General features: G+C 36.4%; 1 protein-coding gene across 10 annotated transcripts in view, besides 1 other annotated feature; it reads left to right on the forward strand.

Moving 5' to 3' along the window:
• Positions 1–23,848, forward strand: part of ZNF292 (zinc finger protein 292) — a 110,379-nt gene that overhangs the window by 31,634 nt on the left and 54,897 nt on the right. For 5 of the 10 annotated variants that reach the window (XM_017010578.3, XM_047418456.1, XM_047418457.1 and 2 more), the window contains exon 1: positions 5,180–23,400. The exons of 3 other annotated variants lie outside the window; for them this stretch is intronic. The gene's annotated coding sequence lies outside the window, so the exon portion shown is untranslated. Of the gene's footprint in view, positions 1–5,179; positions 23,401–23,492; positions 23,610–23,848 lie in introns of those variants that run through there. 2 more of the 10 variants (XM_005248697.5, XM_017010580.2) reach the window with 2 other exon arrangements.
• Positions 22,914–23,468: an enhancer, noted in NCBI's record as "NANOG-H3K27ac-H3K4me1 hESC enhancer chr6:87919830-87920384 (GRCh37/hg19 assembly coordinates)". NCBI's record gives its function as "activates a minimal SCP1, AML or CMV promoter by ChIP-STARR-seq in naive H9 embryonic stem cells {active_cell/tissue: H9 hESC(naive)}" and the evidence as "EXISTENCE:reporter gene assay evidence [ECO:0000049][PMID:30033119]".

The following is a 23,848-nucleotide window of genomic DNA, read 5'->3' on the forward strand; positions in this document are numbered from 1 at the left end:
TATATTAAGTACTATTAATTATGGGTCCAGGTCAATCATGATAAATATCAGTAAAGTTTAAAAGAAAATCTTGTTCAGTAACTCACTTTACTAAATCTCTGTACTCATGATAAATATCAGTAAAGTTTAAAAGAAAATCTTGTTCAGTAACTCACTTTACTAAATCTTAATGCTTAGCCAGATCTTAAACTGGAGAGTGGTTGAATGAACCCACTCTGTGGTCAAATGTTTGATATTTGGCCAGGTACAGTGGCTCACACCTATAATCCTAGCACTTTGGGAGGCCGAGGTGGGCGGATCACCTGAGGTCAGGAGTTTGAGACCAGCCTGGCCAACATGGTGAAACCCATCTCTACTAAAAATACAAAAATTAGCCAAGTATGGTGGTGCATGCCTGTAGTCCCAGTTCAGGAGGCTGAGGTGGGAGGATCACTTGAACCCAGGTGGCGGAGGTTGCAGTGAGCCAAGATTGCACCATTGCACTCTACCTTGGGCAACAGAGTGGGACTCTGCCTCAAAAAAAAAAAAAAAAAAAAGTTTGATATTTGCTGTTGACTTAATGTAGTTTGATGCTCCAGATTAAAAGCTGTGTTTACTACTTAGCTGTTTCCCTGTATGAGTAGTTGCAACATTAAATGCCTGTAGACCCCAGGCATGTAAATTAATGACTTGGATAGAGAAAGGACAGTGGGGAACAAGAGAGCTCTTACCCTAATTCACCAACTGCTACCTATCTGCTTATTACTGCCATATGGGAATGCTGGCCGGTGTTTGCTGAGTCTTTTGATTTTTCAGTGAGAACTAGGTCCAGTTGCTTGTGTATAGTGTCTCAATTTTGAAATATTGGCAATTAATTCAAAATATCTGGGGGAAAAGACCCTAAAAGACTGTATGAGCCAAATAAAACATGCCTGGGGAATTTATTCTTAGATATTTTGAGCATTCTCTAGTTTGCCAGTTGTACATGAAAAACAACTCTCTGATAGTGAGTTTTGATTCTTTAATTCTACCGTGGTCTCTGTGCTTTCATCATTATTCACATACCTGCAAGTTGTACAGTTATGAATGCATTTGGAAACAGGTGTACAAATGGTCAGCGTGGCTAGGGAAGGGAAACAACTCAGGCTGTTTTGATACCTTGAGCAAAGAGAAATCGCTAAGGTAAAGATACCCAACTGACAGATAATGTAGAAATCCCTTACTGTCTTCCTGGCCTTATATTTCTATTATAAGCCTCTATGCTTTGTTTAATTTATCCTGAGATCTCAGATTTTTAACCAGTATTCTAAGCTTCCAGAACTATATAAACATTGTATATATCCAAGAGTGATTTTATGAGTATTTCAGTGGAAGGATAGAGGAGAGCAAATCAGATAACACTAATTTGTAACCATGTTAACTTGAAAATTACATGATTATTTAAAGTTCTTACAAAATGCTTATGTTGAAATTAGTTTTTAGAATGTCAGTTTTCTTGTTTAATTTTCTGCATTGTATTAATATATAGCCAGCCGTAGTAATTTTTTTTTATTAAACAGTTTAATTCACTGTTGTTTTGGCTGTTTTTACTTGAAAAACAACAGTGAATTAAACTGTTTAATAAAAAAAATTACTATGGCTGGCTATATATTAATCTAAACAAGACTTTTTTAATACAATGCAGATAAATTATTATAGGTTTGAAAATGAACATAATAATGAAGGCTTTTAAAAAGTCTTTTTCAGGCCAGGCACCGTGGCTCTTGCCTGTAATCCCAGCACTTTGGGAGGCCGAGGCGGGCCGATCACCTAAGGTCAGGAATTAGGGACCAGCCTGGACAACATGGCAAAACCCTGTCTCTACTAGAAATACAAAAATTAGCTGGATAAGGTGGCGAGCGCCTGTAATTGCAGCTACTGGGGAGGCTGAGGCATGAGAATTGTTTGAACCCGAGAGACAGAGGTTGCAGTGAGTTGAGATCGCACCACTGCACTTCAGCCTGGGCGACAGAGTGAAACTCCAACTCAGAAATAAATAAATAAAAATAAATAAATAAAATAAAAAATGTCTTTTTCAAAATAAATTTTTTATTAGTTTTAAATTTGTAGAAGCATGGGGAAGATAGTATAGTGAGTTCACATATAGCCACAGTTTCCCATTAGTCAGATCTTATATTCACATAGTATGTGTCACAATTAATGATCCAATATTCATATATTATTATTATTATTAACTAAGTCCATACTTGATTCAGATCTCCTTAGGTTTTTCTTAATTTTTTTTTCTGTTCCAGAATCCCATCTAGGATACACATTACATTTGTAATATCTCCTTAGGCTCCTCTGAGCATGATTATTTTCCAAACTTTTCTTTTAGGAGTAATGGCCATGTAATGTATTATGTAGAATATATGAATTTGTCTAATATTTTTCTCATTATTAGACTGGGATTATGTTTTTTTTTTACAGGGTGGGGGGAAGAAGACCACAGAGATAAAGTGCCATCATCAAAGATGTATATTCTCAACATGACTTAGCACAGTTGATGTTAACTTACCTGGCTGGTTTAATACTGTTTGTCAGATTCTACACTGTAAAGTTATTCTTCACCCTTCCCCTTCCATACTGTACTCGGAAGGAAGGAAGCCACTATTTGTAGCCCACACTTAAGAGGTTAGGCTGTTTCCTTGAGGGCAGAATCTAGATAAACTATTTGGGATTCTTCTACATGGGAAATTTTTCTTCTCCCACATTATATTTATTCAGTGATTTATTTATGTCAGTATAGACTCATGGATATTTATTTTATACCTTGGTTAATAATCCAACACCACTTTATTTTGTTGCTCAAATTGTTCCAACTTTGCCCACAGGAACTCTTTCACTTGTATGTCCCTTTGATATATTCCCTAACCTTTGTGTGTGTATGTGTGTATGCATATGTGTGTATTAGAGGGATATTCTAGTCTTTGGATTGAGAAGAAAATTTGTAAGATGTAAGTTTCATATACAGACAACCTTCCATTTTTATATCCTTGCTAACCATAATACCACGTAATAACTAACAAAATTTATTATGTTTATGCTTTACTGCTAGCTTTCTTCATTCAGGTACTTTCAGAAGCATTAATGAACATTGTCTTAGAAGTGAATATTGTTAAGAAAGATCCTAGGAGATTTTTAAGTTATTAAAGCAGTGAAGATTACCTATGCTTGCTTACAGGGAAATTTATCAGGAAATGGAGTTGTTAGGCCAGTGAATATGTATTTTCATTTTTTATTTTATACTTTTATTTATTTATTTATTTATTTTTGAGACGGAGTCTTGCTCTGTCGCCCAGGCTGGAGTGCAGTGGCGCAATCTTGGCTCACTGCAACCTCTGCCTCCCGGGTTCAAGTGATTCTCCTGCCTCAGCCTCTTGCGTAGCTGGGACTACAGGTGCGTGCCACCACACCCAGCTAATTTTTGTATTTTTAGTAGAGATGAGATTTTATCATGTTGGCCAGGCTGGTCTGGAACTCCTGACCTCAGGTGATTTGCCCACCTCAGCCTCCCAGGATATGTATTTTCAAGAAGACTGGAGAAAAATTTCTCCAAAGGAACATTTAAATAGTTAATAAACATCTTTGAAGCTATCTCTCTGGTACATAGTATTGATAGTCTTTTTGCATTTTTTCTTTACTGTTTCTTCTGAAGTTATAAAAGTAACATTTTTCTTTAAAAATGAAGCAATACAAATATCTTCCTTAAATTGTTCCACTCTTCAGAGGTAGCTGTTTACAAAACTGAGTATATTAGACATTTTCCTATGCATTCACACAAATATAATTCATTTGTACTTATATGTTTATATTTAAATAGTGGGATCATATAATACATAATATTGTGTACCATACTTTTTTTTTAACCTAATGATAAATCTTGGTCATGATTCCATATCAGTGTATTCAAAGCTACTACATCCTTAAATGTAATGTTTCATAGTATGGACATTCTATAATGTGTTAAACCAGAAGTGTTCAATGTTTTGGCTTCCCAGGCCCACACTAGAAGAATTGTCTTGAGCCACACATAAAATCCACTAATACTAATGATAGCTGATGAGCTTAAAAAAAAAAATCACAAAAAACTCATAATTTTAAGAAAATTTACAAATTTCTGTTGGGCCACATTCAGAGTCATCCTAGGCCACGGGTTGGACAAGCTTTTATTAAACAGTCTTCTATTAGTGACACTTAGATTGTTAACAATGTTTGGTTAGAGTTTGTGTCAAGATACCCTTATATTAATATCAGTGTCTTTACATGTATGTGGCAATAGTTGGTTAGAATTGTTTTCTGGAACCAGAATTTTTGGTTCAGAGAGTATGCCTATGTAAAGTTTTGCATTCCCAAATTGACCTCCAAAAGTGCAGTGATAAACATTCTACAACACTTGTTTTTGAAGCTTTATAATTTATAATTACAATCATGTCTCCTTGTTGCTTTTATTTTATTTATTTATTTTGAGACGGAGTCTTGCTCTGTCACCCAGGCTGGAGTGCAGTGGTGCAAGCTCGACTCACTGCAACATCCGCTTCCCGGGTTCAAGCGATTCTGGCTCAGCCTCCCAAGTAGCTGGGGTTGCAGGAGTGCCCACCACACCCAGCTAATTTTTGTATTTTAGTAGAGACAGAGTTTCACCATGTTGGCCAGGCTGGTCTCGACCTCCTGACCTCAGATGATCCACCCCCCTTGGCCTCCCAAAGTGCTGGGATTACAGGTGTGAGCCACCATGCCTGGCACTTTTAATCTTTATGTGCCTGATACTGGGGAGGTTTGAGAATTTGTTTCTCATAAACATTTGCTTTGTGATGGGGAAGCCTTTCTAAGGGTAACACAAACTTAGAAATGATTAAAGATTCACTGACAGATTTGACTACAAAAACATTTATAATGTCTTTATAGTGGGAACCACAAAAGGCAAAACAACAGACCGGGGAAGAAAATGCTTTTAACATAGAACTTTGTTTTTATGGTTTACGGATTGATTTATCAGAGAATGAGTTGCAGTTTCTCATTGGAAATTTTGCTGTATGTAAGAAGGTCCAATTAAATATCTCAACAGTCTTTCTAGAGCTACTGGAACAATTCTGTTACTTTAAAAAGTGAATATAAATCTAGATGCACTTTTTAGGGTGAGGGTGGTTTTTTTTTTTTAACCCTAGCGAAAATAACTTTTTTGGTAAGTTTCTTAGAATTCCATCATGGATAAGTCAGTTATTGTGCTTCCATGCATGTTGTACATTCCAATATACACTGTAATTTTTCACAAAAAGGACGATTTTACGTTTTTTATCATGGACACTCTTCCACATACCCAGACCCCTCTAGGAAACCCTTATTCACTTAGGTTTGTGCCCTTCCGTAATTTTTTAAAGATCCTGTAATTCTGTACACAGACATAGATACATCCACACATATAGACAATGCCTTTTTCAGTTCTGATTTTTCAAAAATGGAATTATATACTTCGTTGCATTTAATTATTAAATAAATAATGGCTCATGTGAATGTTTCCATGAGAATCTTATAGTAACTGTATCACAGTTTATTCATTAATTCTCTACTGATGAACGTTTACTTTTTTGTGAGATCTTGACCATCAGGAACAGTATTGCATTGCACGTCCCTGTATTTTAAGTTCACATATACTGGTACTTTTATTTCAGTGGGCTGGATTTCCAGGGATCTTAATGGATAAGGAATAGATTTGACCAGGAATGTGTTCAATTACTGTTATATGAAGAATCTTGAAGCAAAAAACATTAAATATGAGGAAGTTATTTTCTAAAGACAGGGTTTCATTCCTGTTGTCCCAGCTGGAGTGCAATGGCAACTCGGCTCACTGCAGCCTCCACCTTTGGGCTCAAGCAGTTCTCCTGCCCTAGCCTCCAAGTATCTGGGATGAGGGTAATTTTAAGTACAGGTTGAGCTTCCCTAATCTAAGAACCCTAAATTAGAAATGCTCCAAAATCTTAAAGTTTTTGAACACCGACATTATGCCACAAGGGGAAAACGTACCTGAGCTTATGTAACAGGTCACACAGCTGGGTATGGTGGTATTCCTGCAATCCTAGCACTTTGGGAGGCGGAGGCAGACAGATCGCTTGAGCTCAGGAGTTTGAGACCAGCCTGGGGAATATGACGAAAAACATTTCTATCAAAAATTCAAAAATTAGCCAGGCAGTGGCACACCTGTAGTTCCAGCTACTTGGGAGGCTGAGGTGGGAGGATTGCTTGAGCCTGAGAGGTTGAGGCTGGAGTGAGCCAAGATGGCACCACTGCACTCCAGCCTGGGTGACAAAGTGAGAGACCTTCCAAAAAAAAAAAAGAAAAATGCAGGCGCAACACAGTTTATTCAGTGTCCCCAAGGGAAAAAACAACCTGCGCCCTTCAACTGTAATGTATCTTTTCTGCACGTGCATACTCAGATTCCCACACAAGCACGCCCTCCGAGGGTAATAAGACAGCTCAGTGTGCACAACCTTTGTTTCATGCACAAAGTTATTTAAAAACATTATATAAAATTACTTTCAGGCTAAGTGTAGAGTTTACATGAAACATAAATGAATTTTATGTTTAGACTTGGGTCTCATACTGAAGATATCCCATTAATGTGTATGCAGATATTCCAGAATTTGAAAAAATCTGAAACACTTCTGATCCCAAGCATTTTGGATAAAGGATACTCAGCCTGTACTAATTTATCTTAATGAAATCTAGGAACTAAGATGAGGAGAGATAGAAGAGGGAGATAAAACATCTTAAAGGTCTAATGGAGGAAGAGGAAAAACAAGAACAGAGGAAATAAACTAACCAACCTAAAGGGCTCATCCTTTAGGTGGATAACTAGGGAGAATTGGAGCACGGGAAATTCAGTGTGGAAACTTTTTCATGTCGTATGTCTAGAAAAGGCACAGCTATCAGAATGAATTTAGAACTTCTAAGTAAGTGTGGAAAACAGAATAAAAACAAACTTGGTAGCACAAATAGGGAAAAGAAAGGGGAGATTAAATGATAAATATAGAAGGAATAAAATTAAATGTGAATAATTTGAGTTCACTCTTAGACATAAAAATGCTGTTTACAAGCACTTTTTAATTTAAAGAGTGAAAAATGAAATTTAATATTTATGTAAAATTAGAAAAAAAAGTTCAAATTAATGAAGCAGAAATAAATAGAATTAAAAATAAATGAATTCTTTGAAAAAGAGTAAATTCATAAGTAAGTTTAACTTGCACATCTGACCAAGTGAAAAAAGAGAGAGCAGAAGTAGGCAAAATCAGGAATAAGGAGACAACCATGGATCTAGGGGGGAGGAACTAAGTTTGCTGCTCTGTAGCACCAAATTTGAAAACAACAAGAAATGGTGGATTTCCATTTAAAATACAAACTACTGAAATTGAATCAAGAAAAGTCTGAATGGTTACAAGTTCTATTGTTAAAACTGTTATAGGCCATAAATAAAAGCTTCCAAATTTATTTTACAAAGTAATATCAAAACCTAACAAATAGTGTTTAAAAAGAAAACTGTAGGCCAATTTCACATGTGACAGAATATATATGCAAAAGTTTAAATAAAATATTAGGAAATAGAATCCAGCAATATATGCGAAAAATCCTTATAACAAAACAGATGGTATTGCAGGAATTCAGTGCTGGTTCTGTACCTGAAAATGTCTATATACTATATTAAATTGAAAAGCTCATTTGAAAAAAAAAAACCTGTATTCAGTAGATGCTACAAATGGCCTTCGATAAAATCACCATTCCCAGTAAAAACTCTGTAAAATGGGAATAGAGGGAAATTATCTAAATGTAATAAGGACTAAGTTTTAGAAAGTAATAGGACATAATTTTAAATGATAAAATCACAAAAATCTCCATTGTAAACAGGTTACAGATAGGCATCCCTGTTAGTACTATTTTTATTTAACATAGTGTTAGTAGTTTAAGACAAAGTAAAATGTTGAAGAATAGATTAAAATAACTGTGCAAAAGATAGTAAAAGGAGGATTTGCCTTTTCGCATTTTAGATTATAGCAATATGTAAACATTTAAGGAACAGAAAAGTATATTAGTAGAACAAGTAGAGAGTGAAAAAATTCTGGTACAAATTGGGAAATTAGTATATAACAACATAGTGTTAAATTCAATGGGAAAAGTTTAATAAGAGGATTTGGTATCAACTGGCTGTCCAAAGATAAAAATGGACCGTCCTATCACATACAAAATTGTTTTTTAGATAAAGATTTAAATACAGGCACTCCTTCATTTGCGTGGTGCACCTTGAGGTGTTGCAGAAATGATGAGAGCTGAAACTGCAAAGCAATTTTAATACTTTATCTGTTGGAAATCTTATAGTTTTCCTGTGACCGTTAAAATTTTCATTAAACTATTAAAAACACCCATGACTGGTCACAAATGTATTGGGAAATGGAAAAGAATTAATACACTAAAAATACAAAAAATAGAAAATATTTAAAATTATCTAAAAATTTGAAACATTAGAAAAATTGAGAACTAGGCAGGGCGTGGTGGCTCACATCTGTAATTTTAGCCCTTTGGGAGGCTGAGGCAGGTGGATCACCTGAGGTCAGGAGTTCGAGACCAGCCTGGCCAACGTGGGGAAACCCCGTCTCTACTGAAAATACAAAAATTAGCCGGGCATGGTGGCACAAGCCTGTAATCCTTGCTAACCAGGAGGCTGAGGCAGGAGAATCACTTGAACCCAGGAGGTGGAGGTTGCAGTGAGCCGAGATAGCACCACTGCACTCCAGCCTGGGCAGCAGAGTGAGACTCCGTCTCAAAAAAAAAAAAACAAAAAGAAAAAAAAATTGAGAATTAGGATGTTTCTATTTGTAAAAAGCTTATCAAGAATACTTTCAATGATGCTTGCCTTCTAATTGTATAACTTAAGATATGGAACAAGCATCTCTTCTGTGCCTTGCCAAATTGTCATTTTCTTTTCTAAATTTGTATTAGTTTTCAACATTTTATATAGTACTTTGCATTTCCAAAGTCATGAAGTATTTCAGAGACTTCCTTTAATGTGATGTTTTTTTCCTCTGGGATATCTTCATCTTTTGGTCATAACCAGTTTCCAATTCCACTTTCAGCATTGCCACTTTTTGTTTCCTTGCTACACTTTCATTTTTGTTGGTCAGTCCCCTCTTTTGACTGTTTACTTTTGTAAAATGTCAAATCAGTGTATCACTGGGAGACAGGAAGGCAACACAGTTACACACTTTGCTGTTCATGCATATACTGAATAACAAATAGGTGCCCAGTAACCAGTTGCTGTCAAATTTTGGGAAAAGTTATGTGATTGCTTACTGATCATGATGCACATCTCTTATTTACTTAGTGATTTGTGGACCAAGCATTCAGAAGCTATGCACTTACTCAAAGTTGATATACTGTGGTAACTAAGTGTTGAACCAGGTTGTTGGGGACTGTTATTTATACTGTGATGGCTGGTACCTGTGTATTTCAGAACTGTGCAAAAGCAAAGACTGCTTGTGTTCATGACACACACACAAAATCTTGAAAGATAATCTGAGAGACTGCGTATTTAGTCCTTCCTAATGAAGACTTTCTAGTCTTTGTATTATTCCCAGAAAGCATAAAAAGACGGACATATTTCATAATATAAAAATGAATTTTTATGGTAAAAATAACAAAGCCAACAGGGAAAACAATAGATCCAGAAAATTATTTCTAAAACTGTTGATGAACAAAAGGTAAATTTCTGTAATATATTAAATTCTTGCAGTGTGACAAGAAAAGAGACCATCAGTGTGATAGAGCAACAGACAAAACAAATCCAAATGTCCAACAAATGAGAAAGGAGGTCAGATTCATTATTAGTTAAAGAAGTGCAAATTAGAGAAACTGTAGAATTTAATAGGCTGTATATGACTTCTTGCTAGAGGTAATACAGAGAAAGGCACTCTCAAACTTTGGTGGACATGAGAAAACAACCTTTTGGGAAAGCAATGTGGCCAGTAAAATAAACCTGGCCAGTAAATGTGTTAGTAAAATAGCATATCTGTTTGCTATATTCTAGCAGTTGCTCTTCTGGAAATCTATCCCATAGCAGAAAATTTAGTATTTCATTTAATTGCAGTAGGTTAGGTAGTACCATAAATGTTTTTGAAACCTGAGTACAATTTGAGAATATCAGATTTTTAACATTTGGGTTTTTTTTTTTTTTTTTAAAGCATTAAGTAAGGCTGGGCACAGTAGCTCACACCTGTAATCCCAGCACTTTGGGAGGCCAAGGCGGGTGGATTACCTGAGGTCGGGAGTTCGAGACCAGTCTGGCCAACAGGGTGAAACTCCGTCTCTACTAAAAATAAAAAAAAATTAGCTGAGCCTGGTGGCAGATGCCTGTAAGCCTAGCTGCTTGGGAGGCTGAGGCAGGAGAATTGCTTGAACCCCAGAGGCGGAGGTCATGCCACTGCACTCCAGCCTGAGCAACAGAGTGAGACTCGCTGTTTCAAAAAAAAAAAAAAAAAAAAAAAGCATTCATTAGAGCCTGAGTTAGTTTCAATTTTTTATCTAAGAAGTATCTGTTTTAGTTGAAAGAAGTACATTCATTTCTAGCTTTCAACAGTAGGTGTTTTCAGTCTTTGATTCTGGGTTATGAAGTTGCTACAGTTAAAGGGATTTTCAGATCATTTCTATTTTAAGAATATTTATGTATCTTAAGAACAGGTCTCTCTGAAATGTAGTTAATTTTTCCTGAAGATAAAAGTAATATGATTTGAATCATTGCTGTTTTAAGCAATGTTTAATAGATACTGATTGGTATTTTCTTTTTCATCAGTTTCAAATTGATTCTATAAATTTGATAAGTTGGAGAGAAAATTCAGATAGCTAGAGATCTGTGTAACAGATGACACCAATTAGCTTAAAATTTAAATCCTGACATAACCAAGTCACCATTGCATGTTTATTTTATTTATTTATTTATTTATTTATTTATTTATTTATTTTTTGAGATGGAGTCTCGATCTGTCACCCAGGCTGGAGTGCAGTGGCGTGACCTCAGCTCACTGCAACCTCCGCCTCCCGGGTTCACACCATTCTCCTGCCTTAGCCTCCCGAGTAGCTGGGACTACAGGCGTCCGCCACCACACCTGGCTAATTTTTTGTATTTTTAGTAGAGACAGGGTTTCACTGTGTTAGCTAGGATAGTCTTGATCTCCTCACCTCGTGATCCGCCCGCCTGGGCCTCCCAAAGTGCTGGGATTACAGGCCTGAGGAGCCACGCCCGGCCCATTGCATGTTTATGTGTTCCATGTTAGTCATTTTAGAAAATATTAACATTAGAACTGCTTTGTAGTTGGGAAATGGATGAGACTTAAAATAGGTTTTATAAGATACGAAGTACTTAAATATATTAGACTTGGGGAAGTTATTCTCTGTGAACTTTGCAATCTTTATCTGAAACTGAGCCAGATGTGAATCAGAATTCAGAAATGTTCTTCGTTCAAAAAAGAATATGGTGCATATATTGTATTACACAATAACTTCAAAGGGTCCTTGGGTTGCGTCTCATAAACACAGCAGAATACATGAATATTCTTACTAAATGGGATAAAAGCTATCAAATATTTCATTCCTTTTTATTGTTGAAAAATATTCAGCCATATGGATTTATTACATTTTGCTTATCCATTCAAACCATTGATGGACATTTGGCTTGTTCCTAGTTTTAGGCAGTTATAAATAGTGTTGCTGTGAACAGTCATATACTTTTCTTTTGGCCAACAAGCTTATATTCGTTTTGGGTGGATTGCTAGGAGTTGAATTGCTGGTTTGAATAGTAAATTTATGTTTAACTTTTTAAGAAACTGACTATCCAAAGTGACTGTGCCATTTTACATTCTCCTTAGCAATGCATGAGAGTTACAGTTTCTCTGTATACTCACCAACACTTGATATTGTCTTTTTAAAATTATAGCCATTCTAGTGGATGTGGTTTCTCATAGTTAAATTCGTATTTCCCTAATGGCTAATAATATTGAAAATCTTTTCATGTGCATTTTCAGCCATTTATCTTCTTTGGTGAACTGTCCATTTAAATCTTTTGCCCATTTTAAAAAACCAGGTTGTCTTTTTATTAGAGTTGTAGTAGTTCTTTATGTATTCTGGATATGAGCCCTTTGTTAGATGTATCATTTATAAACATTTTTTTCTCAGCCTATGGCTTGGCTTTTCATTTTTTAATGGGGTCTTTTGAAGTGCAGAAATTTTTTATTTTGATGAATTGAAGTCCAATTTATGAACTTTATAAAAATAGATCATGTTTGGTGTTCGAAGAACTCTTCAAGAAGTTTTATAGGTTTAGTTCTTCATTTAAGTATGGTCCATTTTGGGTTTTGTGTATGATGCAAGGTAAGCATCTCATTTCATTTTTATGCATGTAGATATTCAGTTGTCTCAGTACCATTTCCTGCGCTGAGAATGGATCACATGCCCTCTGGTTCAGCCTATATTAACATTTGTTTCTAGGAAAATGTTTTTAATTTCTTTTTCATCAAAAAGTCACTTATACAATGAGTATAAATGACTAAGGGAAAACCTATTTCTGTTTAATTTTATTTCTATTCAGAGCAGTTACTAGAGAATATAGAAATTAAAGGAATCAATCACCTTTAAAGCTGGGTTTCCTACCATTGTATTTCATGTTCTGAAGTAAGGATGTATTGTGTGTGCCAACTGGCCCATGATAGACATACACAGTAGACTGTGGCAGCCTTTCTGGCTTATCCCCAGCAAGTTGAGATTGAGGCTCGTGCTATAATTATTTATGGCAGCTAGACTCTGCTTCTTTGAATCTAATTATGTACATCCTGGGCTTGTAGGTCTCTGAAGTTACTAGGGGTTATATTCTGTATAAGGGGGTTTACTCTTAAGAATTTTGGACCTCCCACATGATATTTAGCTATATGTTGGGCTAAAGTCTTCACTTCAGATTTGAGCCATGTATTTACCTTCATTATGACTGCTTGACTATGGGAGTCACAATGTAAAGGTACAGATCAAACAGACATACTGTGTTAGTGTTTTTGGAAAGTAAGTTCAAAGCCAGAAATACTGTGGAGACTAAGCTGAAGTCAGAATTGTCCTTTTCAGAGTGTTTTATACGGAGAAACAGTTACATAGCATTATGAGAATTAATTCAGTGGATGAAACCTAAAAACATTCCCTTTCTATGTTATGTACTAGACATTTAAAAAAAAAATCTCTGCTCCCATTAAAGTCAGGTTTCTTAGCAATTAGGTTAGCATCAAACATGCTCGTGTTTTTCCAAGATTGAAACCCTTTGTGCCAAGGCATCAATGTGGTTGCTTCTGTAAGCCTAGTTTATAGCAAAGAATATGCAAGAACAGAGAAATTATGGGCCACACCATGTCAGGCTAGGGAATAGGGAGGTTTTGGGATTATGATTGGTTCGTGCCATCAGAATGCTACAAAGAGAGTAGGCCCTGGAGCCAGAAGTTTTAGAATTCTCAGAAAGTCTGGAGATTGTGTTATAGCATCCATATTGGAGATTATTTAGGGATTCAAAGCTATCAGAAACTCAGTTTTGTGAATGGTTATTTCACATCCTAGCATTGAGTATATATGGGAATGTGAATCATGTTAAATTCATAATTGATTTTCTTTGAAAATGCTAAACTGCTACTGAAATAACTACTGCACTGGGCCGTTTGCCAGGGATGGTAGCCTGAGATATGGGGAAACAAGTGTCTCAACCAGAACAATGTGGAAATAAGATTATTGGATTTCATCACAAGTAAGAGATTCTCCTGAATTCTCACAATTTGGGAGAGAGATGATATAAAGGCAACATACTCAGAAGTAAAAATGGTGGTGGACCAATCTCAACCCTGAGATTCCGAGGTAGACTTATATTTATATTATGAATTTTGTATTATGCATATGGCACTATGTATTATTTGCGAATATGAGATACAAAATGTCTTCCCAGTTTGTAGCCTTTTATTTGATTTTCTATGGGGTTTTGTTGAACAGAAGTTTTTAATTCTATTGTATCTGCAGTTATTATTATCTTCCATTATGATGTGTATTTTCTGTCTTAAGAAAACCTTCTTTGCCCTAAGGTCTTAAGATGTTCTCCTATGTTTTCATCCTAAAGTTTGTTGTTGTTGTTTTATTTTTTTCTTTGTAACGGAGTTTTGCTCTTGTTGCCCAGGCTGGAGTGCAATGGCATGATCTCGGCTCACCGCAACCTCCGCCTCCCGGGTTCAAGCGATTCTCCTGCCTCAGCTTCCCGAGTGGCTGGGATTACAGGCATGCACCACCACACCCAGCTAGTTTTTGTATTTTAGTAGAGACGAGGTTTCTCCATGTTGGTCAGGCTGGTCTTGAACCCCCGACCTCAAGTGATCCGCCCACCTCAGCCTCCCAAAGTACTAGGGTTACAGGCATGAGCCACCACACCCAGCCTCATCCTAAAGTTTTAAAGTATTGCTTTTCACATTCAGTTACTTGTCCATATAGGATATAGTTTTGTTATATGCTGGGAATAGTTATAATTTTTCTTTCCTGTTTAAATGGTTGTTTCAGGTTATTTATGGAATAGTCTGTACTTTCCTCACTGGTTTCTGATGGGGCTTTTTTATATACCATGCTCTCACATATATGTAATTCTGTTTTAAAGCTCTTTCATTTCTGTCATCTATGTCTATAACAAAATCACACTGTCTTAATTTCTATAGCTTTGGGATAAGTCTTGCTATCTGATTAGGGCAGATAATCTTCCAAATTCAAAAACCTGGCTCTTCAAAATTGATTTGGCCTTTTGAATGATTTTTAGAATCAACATGTCAAATTCTGTAAATAATCCTATGGAGAATTTCATTGGCATTGCTTTGACTTTTTAAATATGGCTCATATTGTCATCTTTAACTTGTCTTCCACTATCTATGTATGTGGTATTTCCATTTATGCACCCTTCCTTTTATTCTTTAAATAAAGTTTTATACTTTTTTTTGAAAAGATCTTATAAATACTTTGTTAGATTCATTCCTAGGTACTTCACGAGTTTTGTTACTGTGAATGTTATCTTTTTAAAAATTATAGTTTCTAACTGCTTTTTTAAAAAAATAGAATTGCAGTTGATTTTGTGTATGGATCTTATATCTAACTACTATACTGAATTCTCTTGAAGTTCTTACGTGTGCATTGTCTGCAATGGTGACATTTTTATTTTATCTTTCTGGTTCTTACTGCTTTTATTTCTTTTTCAGATTGTGCTGATTAGCCCTACAGTTTTGAATAGAAGCAGTGATAGGCATTTTTGTTTTGTTTTCTGACTTTAAAGGGAAATGCTTCTAACATTTCATACTCCCAGAATGTAGTTTGCTATGGGTTTTTCTGGATACCCTCTATCACATTAAAGAGCTTTCCTTCTGTTCCTTGTCGTAAAGAGATACTGATTCTTCTTTACCTCAAGTTGCATTTTGATTACAATATTTCCCCTTCCCCCCGCCCCATCCATGATTTTGTTTTCTGTGGTTTTAGTTACCCTGGTACAAAAGTATTACATACAGTAAGGGGGGAGAGAAAGAGACCACATTCACATAACTTTCATTAATACAGAATATTGTTAATTGTTCTATTTTATTATTTTTGTTAATCTCTTACTGTGCCTAATTTACAAATTAAACTATCTTAGGTATATGTATATATAGGGATAAAATAGTATATGTAGAGTTCACTACTATCCAGGGTTTCAGGCATCCACTGAGTCTTGGAATTTATCCCCCATGAATAAATAGGGGACTACTGCATATCTTTTTAATGGTTTTGAGGTAATCATATAATTTCCCCCCTTAAAATCTGTTATTAGAGTGAATTACATTAATATATTTTCCTTTTTTTTTTTTTTTTTTTTTAAAGTGAGACAGGGCTCACTGTGTTGGCCAGGCTGGAGTGCAGTGGCATGATCATGGCTCACTGCAACCTTGACCTCCAAGGTTAAGGTGATCCTCCCACCTCAGCACCCCAGAGTAGCTGGGACTACAGGCACATGTCACCATATCTGGCTAACTTTTTGTATTTTTAGTAGAGACAGGGTTTTGCCGTGTTGCCCATGCTGATCTTGGACTTCTGAGCTTAAGTGATCCACCCGCCTCAGCCTACCAAAGTGCTGGGATTACAAGTGTGAGCCACTGTGCTGAGCGATTTTCCTAACTTTAAATTATCCTCACGTTTCTAGGATAACACCTACTAGGCCCAAAATACATTTAAAATGTATATTGCAACCGTTTCTCTTCCCTTCCTGAATAATTCAGTCCTGAAGCCATTATGTGGGTCAAAGCAAGGTATGTATCTGCAAGGGGGGGTGGGGTGCTGCAATGGCCCAGAGTGGAATGTCAAAGCCCAGATTGAGTAGTAGCATCATGTTGGGGGAAGGCATCAGACCCCACTCAAGATAAGGAGGGCACCATAGGGAGGTGACTGGGGTGGCTGTGTGTGGGGATTTAGGGCCCAGGTGAGATGAGTTAGGCATCCATGGGTGGGGAAGGAGCTACCTGGTATGGGGAGTCAGAGCCAGAGCAGGGTGAGCAGGCATAGGGGCAGCCTGGCATAGTATGTGAGAGCCTAAGCAGAACAGGAAGGGACAACTACCTAGAGAGCCGCCTAGTTCCAGCATGCCGAGTCAAAGCCTAAGCAGAGTGAGGAGGGCAGACACTACTTTAATCAAGGGATCAAAATGAACATCATCCATAATGTGTACCACCTGATAGGATATAATGAGAAGAAATGACCATTACTTCTGTGCTGTTCTCACTAAAAATGCGTAGCCTAAATCTAATCAAGAGAAAATACTAAAGCCAAATTGAGGGATATTCTACAAAATAGGTGGCCTATAATAATCTCCAATGGTGCCAGGGTCCTGAAAGAGTCTTTCAAGTGTTACTTAGGATTTAAGGAGACTGAAGGGACATGACAAATGCAAACTGTACTACTACTGTATCTTTTTCTATAAAACGTCATTGGGATAATTTGGCATACGTGAATAATGTCTGCAGATTAAATAATAGTAATGTATCAGTGTTTATTGCCTGATTCTGGTGGTCATACTGTGGTTATGTGGGAGAATGTACTTGTTTGTAGGAAATACATACTCTTTGAAGGTAGTGAGGCATTAGGTTGGCCACTAACTACCAAATAGCTTAGGAAAAAAATGTCTTTGTACTGTATCGCCAACTTTTCTGTAACTTTGTGATTGTTTCAAAAATTTTTTTTTAATTTAAAGTTTATTGTAGGATTTGGTTGGTAACATTTAGGATTTTTTTTTTTTTTTTTTTTTTTTTTGATACTAAGTCTCGCTCTTATCGCCCAGGCTGGAGTGCAATGGCACGATCTTGCCTCACTGCAACCTCCGCCTCCTGGGTTCAAGCGATTCTCCTGCCTCAGCCTCCCGAATAGCTGGGATTACAGGCGCCTTCCACCATGCCCAGCTAATTTTTGTATTTTTAGTAGAGACTGGGTTTCACCATGTTGGCCAGGCTGGTCTCGAACACCTGACCTCAGGCAGTCTCCCTGCCTCAGCCTCGCAAAGTGCTGGGATTACAGGCGTGAACCACTGCGCCTGGCCACATTTAGGATTTTTAAATCGCTGTGTATGTCTGAGATTGGCCTGTGATTTTTTTCCTTTCTCATACCGTATGTACCCAGTTTTAATCTCAAGTTTATAGTACCCTCAAACAATGAATTAGTGAATTTTCCCACTCTTCCTTTCATCCAAAAGCTTCTGTAATAAAGAGATTATCTGTTTCCTAAAGAATTGTTTGCTGGGGTTTTTTCCCGCTCTCCACTGGCCCCAGACATGATATCTCTCTCTGTCTTCAGGCTGTAGTGCAGTGGCAAGATCATAGCTCACTGCAACCTCAAACTCCTGGGCTCGAGCGATCCTCCAGCTTTAGCCTCCCAAGTAGCTGGGACTACAGACATGTGCCACTACACCTGGCTAATTTTTTAAATTATTGGTAGAGATGAGGTCTTGCTATGTTGCTCTGGCTGGTCTCGAACCCCTGGCCTCAAATTATCCTCCCACCTTGGCTTCCCCAAGTGCTGGTATTACAGACATAAGCCACCATGCCCAGCCTGCTTGCTGGACTTTTCTATAAAAATTGTATGATAATTATTTTTTTTTCTTAACCTGGATTTAGTTTCTTAATAGGTAAAGGACTATTTTTTTCTATTTCTTTGTGAGACCATTTTAAAATGTTAGAACATTTTAGTAATGTTCTAACCATTCCCATTTTATTCAGATTTTTAAGTTATTTTCAGATAAGATGATTCTTAATAATCTTATTTCAAATAATATTATTCAATATATTTTGATTTTAAAACATCTTTATTGCTCTTGTAGTTATGGTTCCTTTCTCATTTCCAATACTGTTGATTTGTGCCTTCTCTTTTTTTCTTGACCAGCTTTGCCAGATGACTAGGTTTAGTTTTGTTGACCCTCTCTGTGTGTTTTCTTATTTTTTTAAACATCCTCACCACAATCTGTGTCTTTATTTTCTATGTCATTTATTTCTCATCTCAGTTTTATTACTTTTACGTTTTTATACTCTGAGTTTATCCTGTTCTTTGTCCAATTTAAGTTGGCTACTTAGTTATTTTCGCCAAATTTTGCATAATAAACCACTAAAACCTTAGTAGCATTTAATGTAAGCATTATCGCTCACTCATCTGAGGTCTGGCTAAGTATCTGTTGATCTTGGCTGGACTGATAGATATGTTTCAGATTGGCTGTTACCTGATACAGGTTGGACTCAACTGGAGCAACAGGATGACATCTACCTCTCATTACCCTGCTGGGGACAGCAAGCTAATCTGGACGTATCTTCTCATTGTGAGGGCAGAAGCATAAAAGAAAACAAGATGCTTAAACTTACAGCTGTCCTACTATCACTTCTGCCCCATTCTCTTGGTCAGAACAGGTCACATGGTTAGGAAAATATTTTCTACCATTATGATAAGTACTCCAAAGTCATGTGACAAAGGACAGGGAAACAAGGAGAGGTGAAGAATTCAATCTACCACACTTCCCACCCTCAGTACTTTGCTTTTCAAACTCTTCATAACAGAAAAGTTAAAAGAATAGTACCATGAATACCCACATAGCTTTCACCGAGATTCCCCCTTCATTCACATTTTGCCATATTTGCTTTATCTCACATTTTATTTTCTGAATCCTTTAAGAGTTAGCCAGTATTATGACATTGCCCCCCTTATATACTTTAAGCGTTTATCTCCTAAGGCCAAATACATTTTTCTGTATACTCACAACACAATCATCACACTCAGGAAATGTAATATTGACACACCACTATTATCTAATTACAATATATATTTAAATTTCTCCATTTGTCCCAATAATATTCTCTTTGGCTATTCTTTATTTTCTCTTTTTAAATGCAGCCAGTTTTGTTTTATTACAATATATGAATTCCTAACAATCACTTTGTCATGCAAAATTGCACATTAAAGATCACGGGGCTTACCGAAAAAGTGTACTTAGAGACACAGCATGCAAAAACGTCATCACACACGCAGAACCTTATTGAAACAGTAGCACAGTTTTATACCTATTAAGTAGTTAAATACATAGGTAGTTTACCTTGAAAAAGATCTGAAGTTTCTTTGCAGAAGTGGGCACCAGAAGGAAAGTGGGTGTCGAAAGGGATGTAGTTTGTGAGTTAATGTGAATTAGCAGGAGGAGAGTTCTCTGAAATTGGATAGAAAGTTGTAACACCACTTGTGAATGGGTATCGCTAATAACACTCATGGTGAACTAAGGTAGCTGGTACATCTTTGATTTGCGTGCGCATGTGCATTTTGCGTATTCTAACAGCTCAGTTCATTTGGGTACAGTTGTCTGCTTTCACCTAATGTTTCCCACCAAAAAATAGTACATAAGCAAATGAGAAATTCTTGTTTTGCTAATGTTGTGTCAGAACAAATGTGTATATATGTACTTTTTTAAGCTGTAACAGAAGTGACAGTATAAACATTTGCATCTAAAACTGTCCCTCTTAAGATTGCTTTAGCTGCATCCTACGAATTTTGATAGGTTGTGTTTTTGCTGTAATTCAAGTCTAAGTATTCTCTGATTTCTATTATGGTTTCTTTTACCCCTGACTGAGAAGTACAGTTTAAAATTTCAAGTTTGTAGTTTTCTTTGTTAGGGTATTCTTTTGTTAAGTGTTTAACTTTATTGCGTTTTATTCAAAGAATGTGGAAAAATGTGAAAAAAATATAAAAAATGTGAAACATATTCTTTATTTCATGTGACTGTCTACGTGGCCTAGTTTGTGTTCAGTTTTTGTAACTGTTTTACTTGTGTTTGTGAAGAATGTGCATTTTCTAATTGGTGAGTCCAGTTTCTCCAGACGTAAATTATTGTATTTTTTTCTTAGCTTAATTTTCTGTGTGTTTATCACCAATTCAATCCAAATTCTCCCTCAATTGTTTAAATCTCCTCTAAGCTTATTCAAGCACATTAGGTTATCTATCAATTTCATCTTGAAGAAATTTATCCAAAATCCATCTAATATGCTATAATTATTTTCCAGGCCCATTGCACAACTGTCTTCTTGGAATCTTACTTGCATTCATCTCTCTCATGTTAGAGCTCCCTTTTTTCTGTGTATCATTCTGACTCCTTTCCTGGTTTATTTTTCATTTTGGTGAAATTCTTTCTTCAGTAACATCCTGAAAAAATGTGCCTAGAAGGTAAAAAATTTTAGACCACGTATGTCCGAAAATGACTTTTCTATTTTAATAGTTACAATCGTTGGATATAAATAGTTTCCCCATAGCTTTTAATGCAGTGCTTCATTTTCTTTTTGCTCCAGTGTTGCAGTTGAGAAGTCTGCTGCCTCTTCCCCCACCAATCTTATTTTGATCCTCTCTTTGTTTTTGAGCTCTAAAATTTTATGAGAAAGTACTTTGGTACAGTTCTATTTTCAGTAATTGTGCTGGACATTCAGTGGGTCTTTTCATTCCTAAAATTCATGTTCTTAGGTTCTAGAAAATTAATTTGAATTAAATATTTTCTTTATTCCCCTCAATTTCTCTATTCTGACTTCCTGGAACTCCTGTTATTTATTATGGGACCTCTAGCATTATTCTTTAAATTTTAAAATCTTTTTTCTCCTATCCATAATTTTTATTAGTCTTTTTTCCCTTAACTATTTCTTATAACATGGTGTTTTTGTTCGTAGATGTAATATGTTTTCTCACATATCGAAGAATATCAGTGATAGTTTCTTGAAATTTTACTTTCTTCCTGCATGATTTCTCTTTATTCAAAGTTGCTTTTTTTTTCCCCCTTGTTTTGATTTCTCTCAACATTAGAAGCTTTTTAAAAATGTCTACTGGTCTTTAAATACCATATTTAAGGGTATACTGCTAAAAAGGTGATTGAGAGCTCCAAGTTCATGTATGACATTTGTTGTGATTTTCACAAATAAGGGGGTCTAGTTTGTTTCAGTCCCTGATGAAGGCTTGGTGTCAGAATATTGGGTCTTTTCTTTTTGATTTCCCAGAAAAAGACTCAGCTAGGGACCTGGAAGTTCAGGCAGTGAGTTGGAAAAAAGGGGCTTGCTGTCTATAGGGAGTATGTAAAGTTGACTTATTGCCCTGAAAAGTAAGATACTTTTCCTTGACTGTGTCCAAACACCTCTTTTTAAACTTCTTTACTGAGGAAGAGTGGCAGTACCTCGCTTGGGTTTTCTAGGTGTGGAGAGTGAGGAGGAAATCAGGGAGGCTTAACTCCTAAAATAGACTTTTCAACCAGTTATCTCATTTTTAGCCCCACTTTCACCCCCCCCTCCCCATTTTCAGAGGCATCTAGTGCTCCCAGTTCCTGAGCCCTTTGGTGATTATGCAGAGTTAGTGGGTTTTGTTTGTTTGTTTGTTCTTGTTGTTGTTTTTACCTAAAGCCTATTTAGGAGTCACTTTTCTTGGAGTGTCAGTCTTACATATGCTTTCCAGCTTTTAAGATTTTATTTCTTTTTGTTCCATTCCCATGTTCCTATTCTTATGGATTTATGCCACTTTAAAAAAAATTACTGTAGTTTCAGTGAGGTTTGGGGAGAGGAGAGTAAGGTGCAAAGTGAATGTGTCCAGTCTACCATTTCTACACAAAACCTTAAAATACATTTTAATAACTTAGAAGTTTTAAAGAGTATTTCACATTCATCAAAGGCTCCTCAGCGGGTTTAGAAGGTCAAAACTGTAAGACATTATTTGCCACCTTTCAGTCGTGTACAGTGGAGTTTTCCAAAGTTTACATGATGTGTGGTATTGCAGCAAATTAAGTGCATAAACTGATAGGAGAAACCTGCTCTTTTCTCTTGTCAGGCATTGAAGAGATTTGAAAAATGTAAAACAATGCCTCTCTTTTCACTTTTTTCAGAAAATGCATTTTTATTAAAAATATCTTATTTATGGTAATGTGATGGGTTTATTGTTATTTTAAACTTGTTTATAAGTAAGTAAAAGTCTCAGTTTTTGTTTTGAATATGGTGAATGTCAGTAGTTGTAACTCACATAAACAACTCTTTGGGATCCTCAGTAATTTTTAAGAGAGTAAAGAGTCATGAGATCAAAATGTTTGAGAACTTCTGTTCTAGAGAACCCTAGATGTAAATTGGAAGTGGAACATGAATGTAATAATATAACCATAACCAACACTCCACTAGTCTTATCTTTACATAGGACAATAATGTAATTTAATCCCCATGTTTATTAAATGTAACACCCCCGCGGTTTTATTTCTCTTTTATTTTCCCTCGTGGTAATCCTTAGGGCAACTAAAGGAAGCTATCAGAAGTTAATCTATACTCTTTCTCCCTAAAGCATGTATGTTCTAGACTCTGCTTATTTAAATAATGAGAAATAAACTTAAGAGCCAAATTGTTAAAGTGTGCATTTTTGTTCTCAAGGGGTTAAAAATTGGCTCTTAAAGAAAAAAATTTTTTTTTAAATTGTTTGTTACATGTAAACAGATACATAGTTTAATTTGTGGTATCAAAATATCATTGAGGATGATGAACAATTAGGAAAAAAAGTCAAAAGTCTCCTTAAGAGGGGACAATAATGAAAAACACCGCAAGAAACAGTGTGTTAGAGATCCTTTAACCTCTTACCTATTTCTTCTATCCTAGGCTTGCCCCAGAACACACACTATAGAGCAGATGCAGTAGCCACAAATAACTTTGTGGGGATCTAGTAGCTCCCTTAAAGAATGAGGTGAGGCAGGCTGAAGCGGGCGGATCACGAGGTCAAGAGATCAAGACCATCCTGGCTGACAAGGTGAAACGCCGTCTCTACTAAAAATACAAAAAGTAGCCAGGCTTGGTGGCGGGCGTCTGTAGTCCCAACTACACGGGAGGCTGAGGCAGGAGAATGGCGTGAACCCGGGAGGCGGAGCTTGCTGTGAGCCGAGATCATGCCACTGCATTCCAGCCTGGGGAACAGAACAAGACTCTGTCTCAAAAACAAACAAACAAACAAAGAATGAGGTGAGGCATGTAGCACCCACAGAGCCTGTGTCTGATCTCAGTGGGAGATCTTGGGTCATCACTCAGCCCTAGCTAGTTGCCATGCTGGGATGTGGGCCCAAAGTTGCCAATTTTTTTTGTTTTAAAAGAAAAGCCAGAAACCCAAGTTTTTATGTAAAATATATGACTTCTAAATATTAGAAACTAATTCAAATACTTTTTGAACAATGTGCACATCAAAACATCCATGAGCCACTAGT

The sequence above is a fragment of the Homo sapiens genome, chromosome 6 (assembly GCF_000001405.40).
Source record: "Homo sapiens chromosome 6, GRCh38.p14 Primary Assembly".
NCBI lineage: Eukaryota > Metazoa > Chordata > Mammalia > Primates > Hominidae > Homo > Homo sapiens.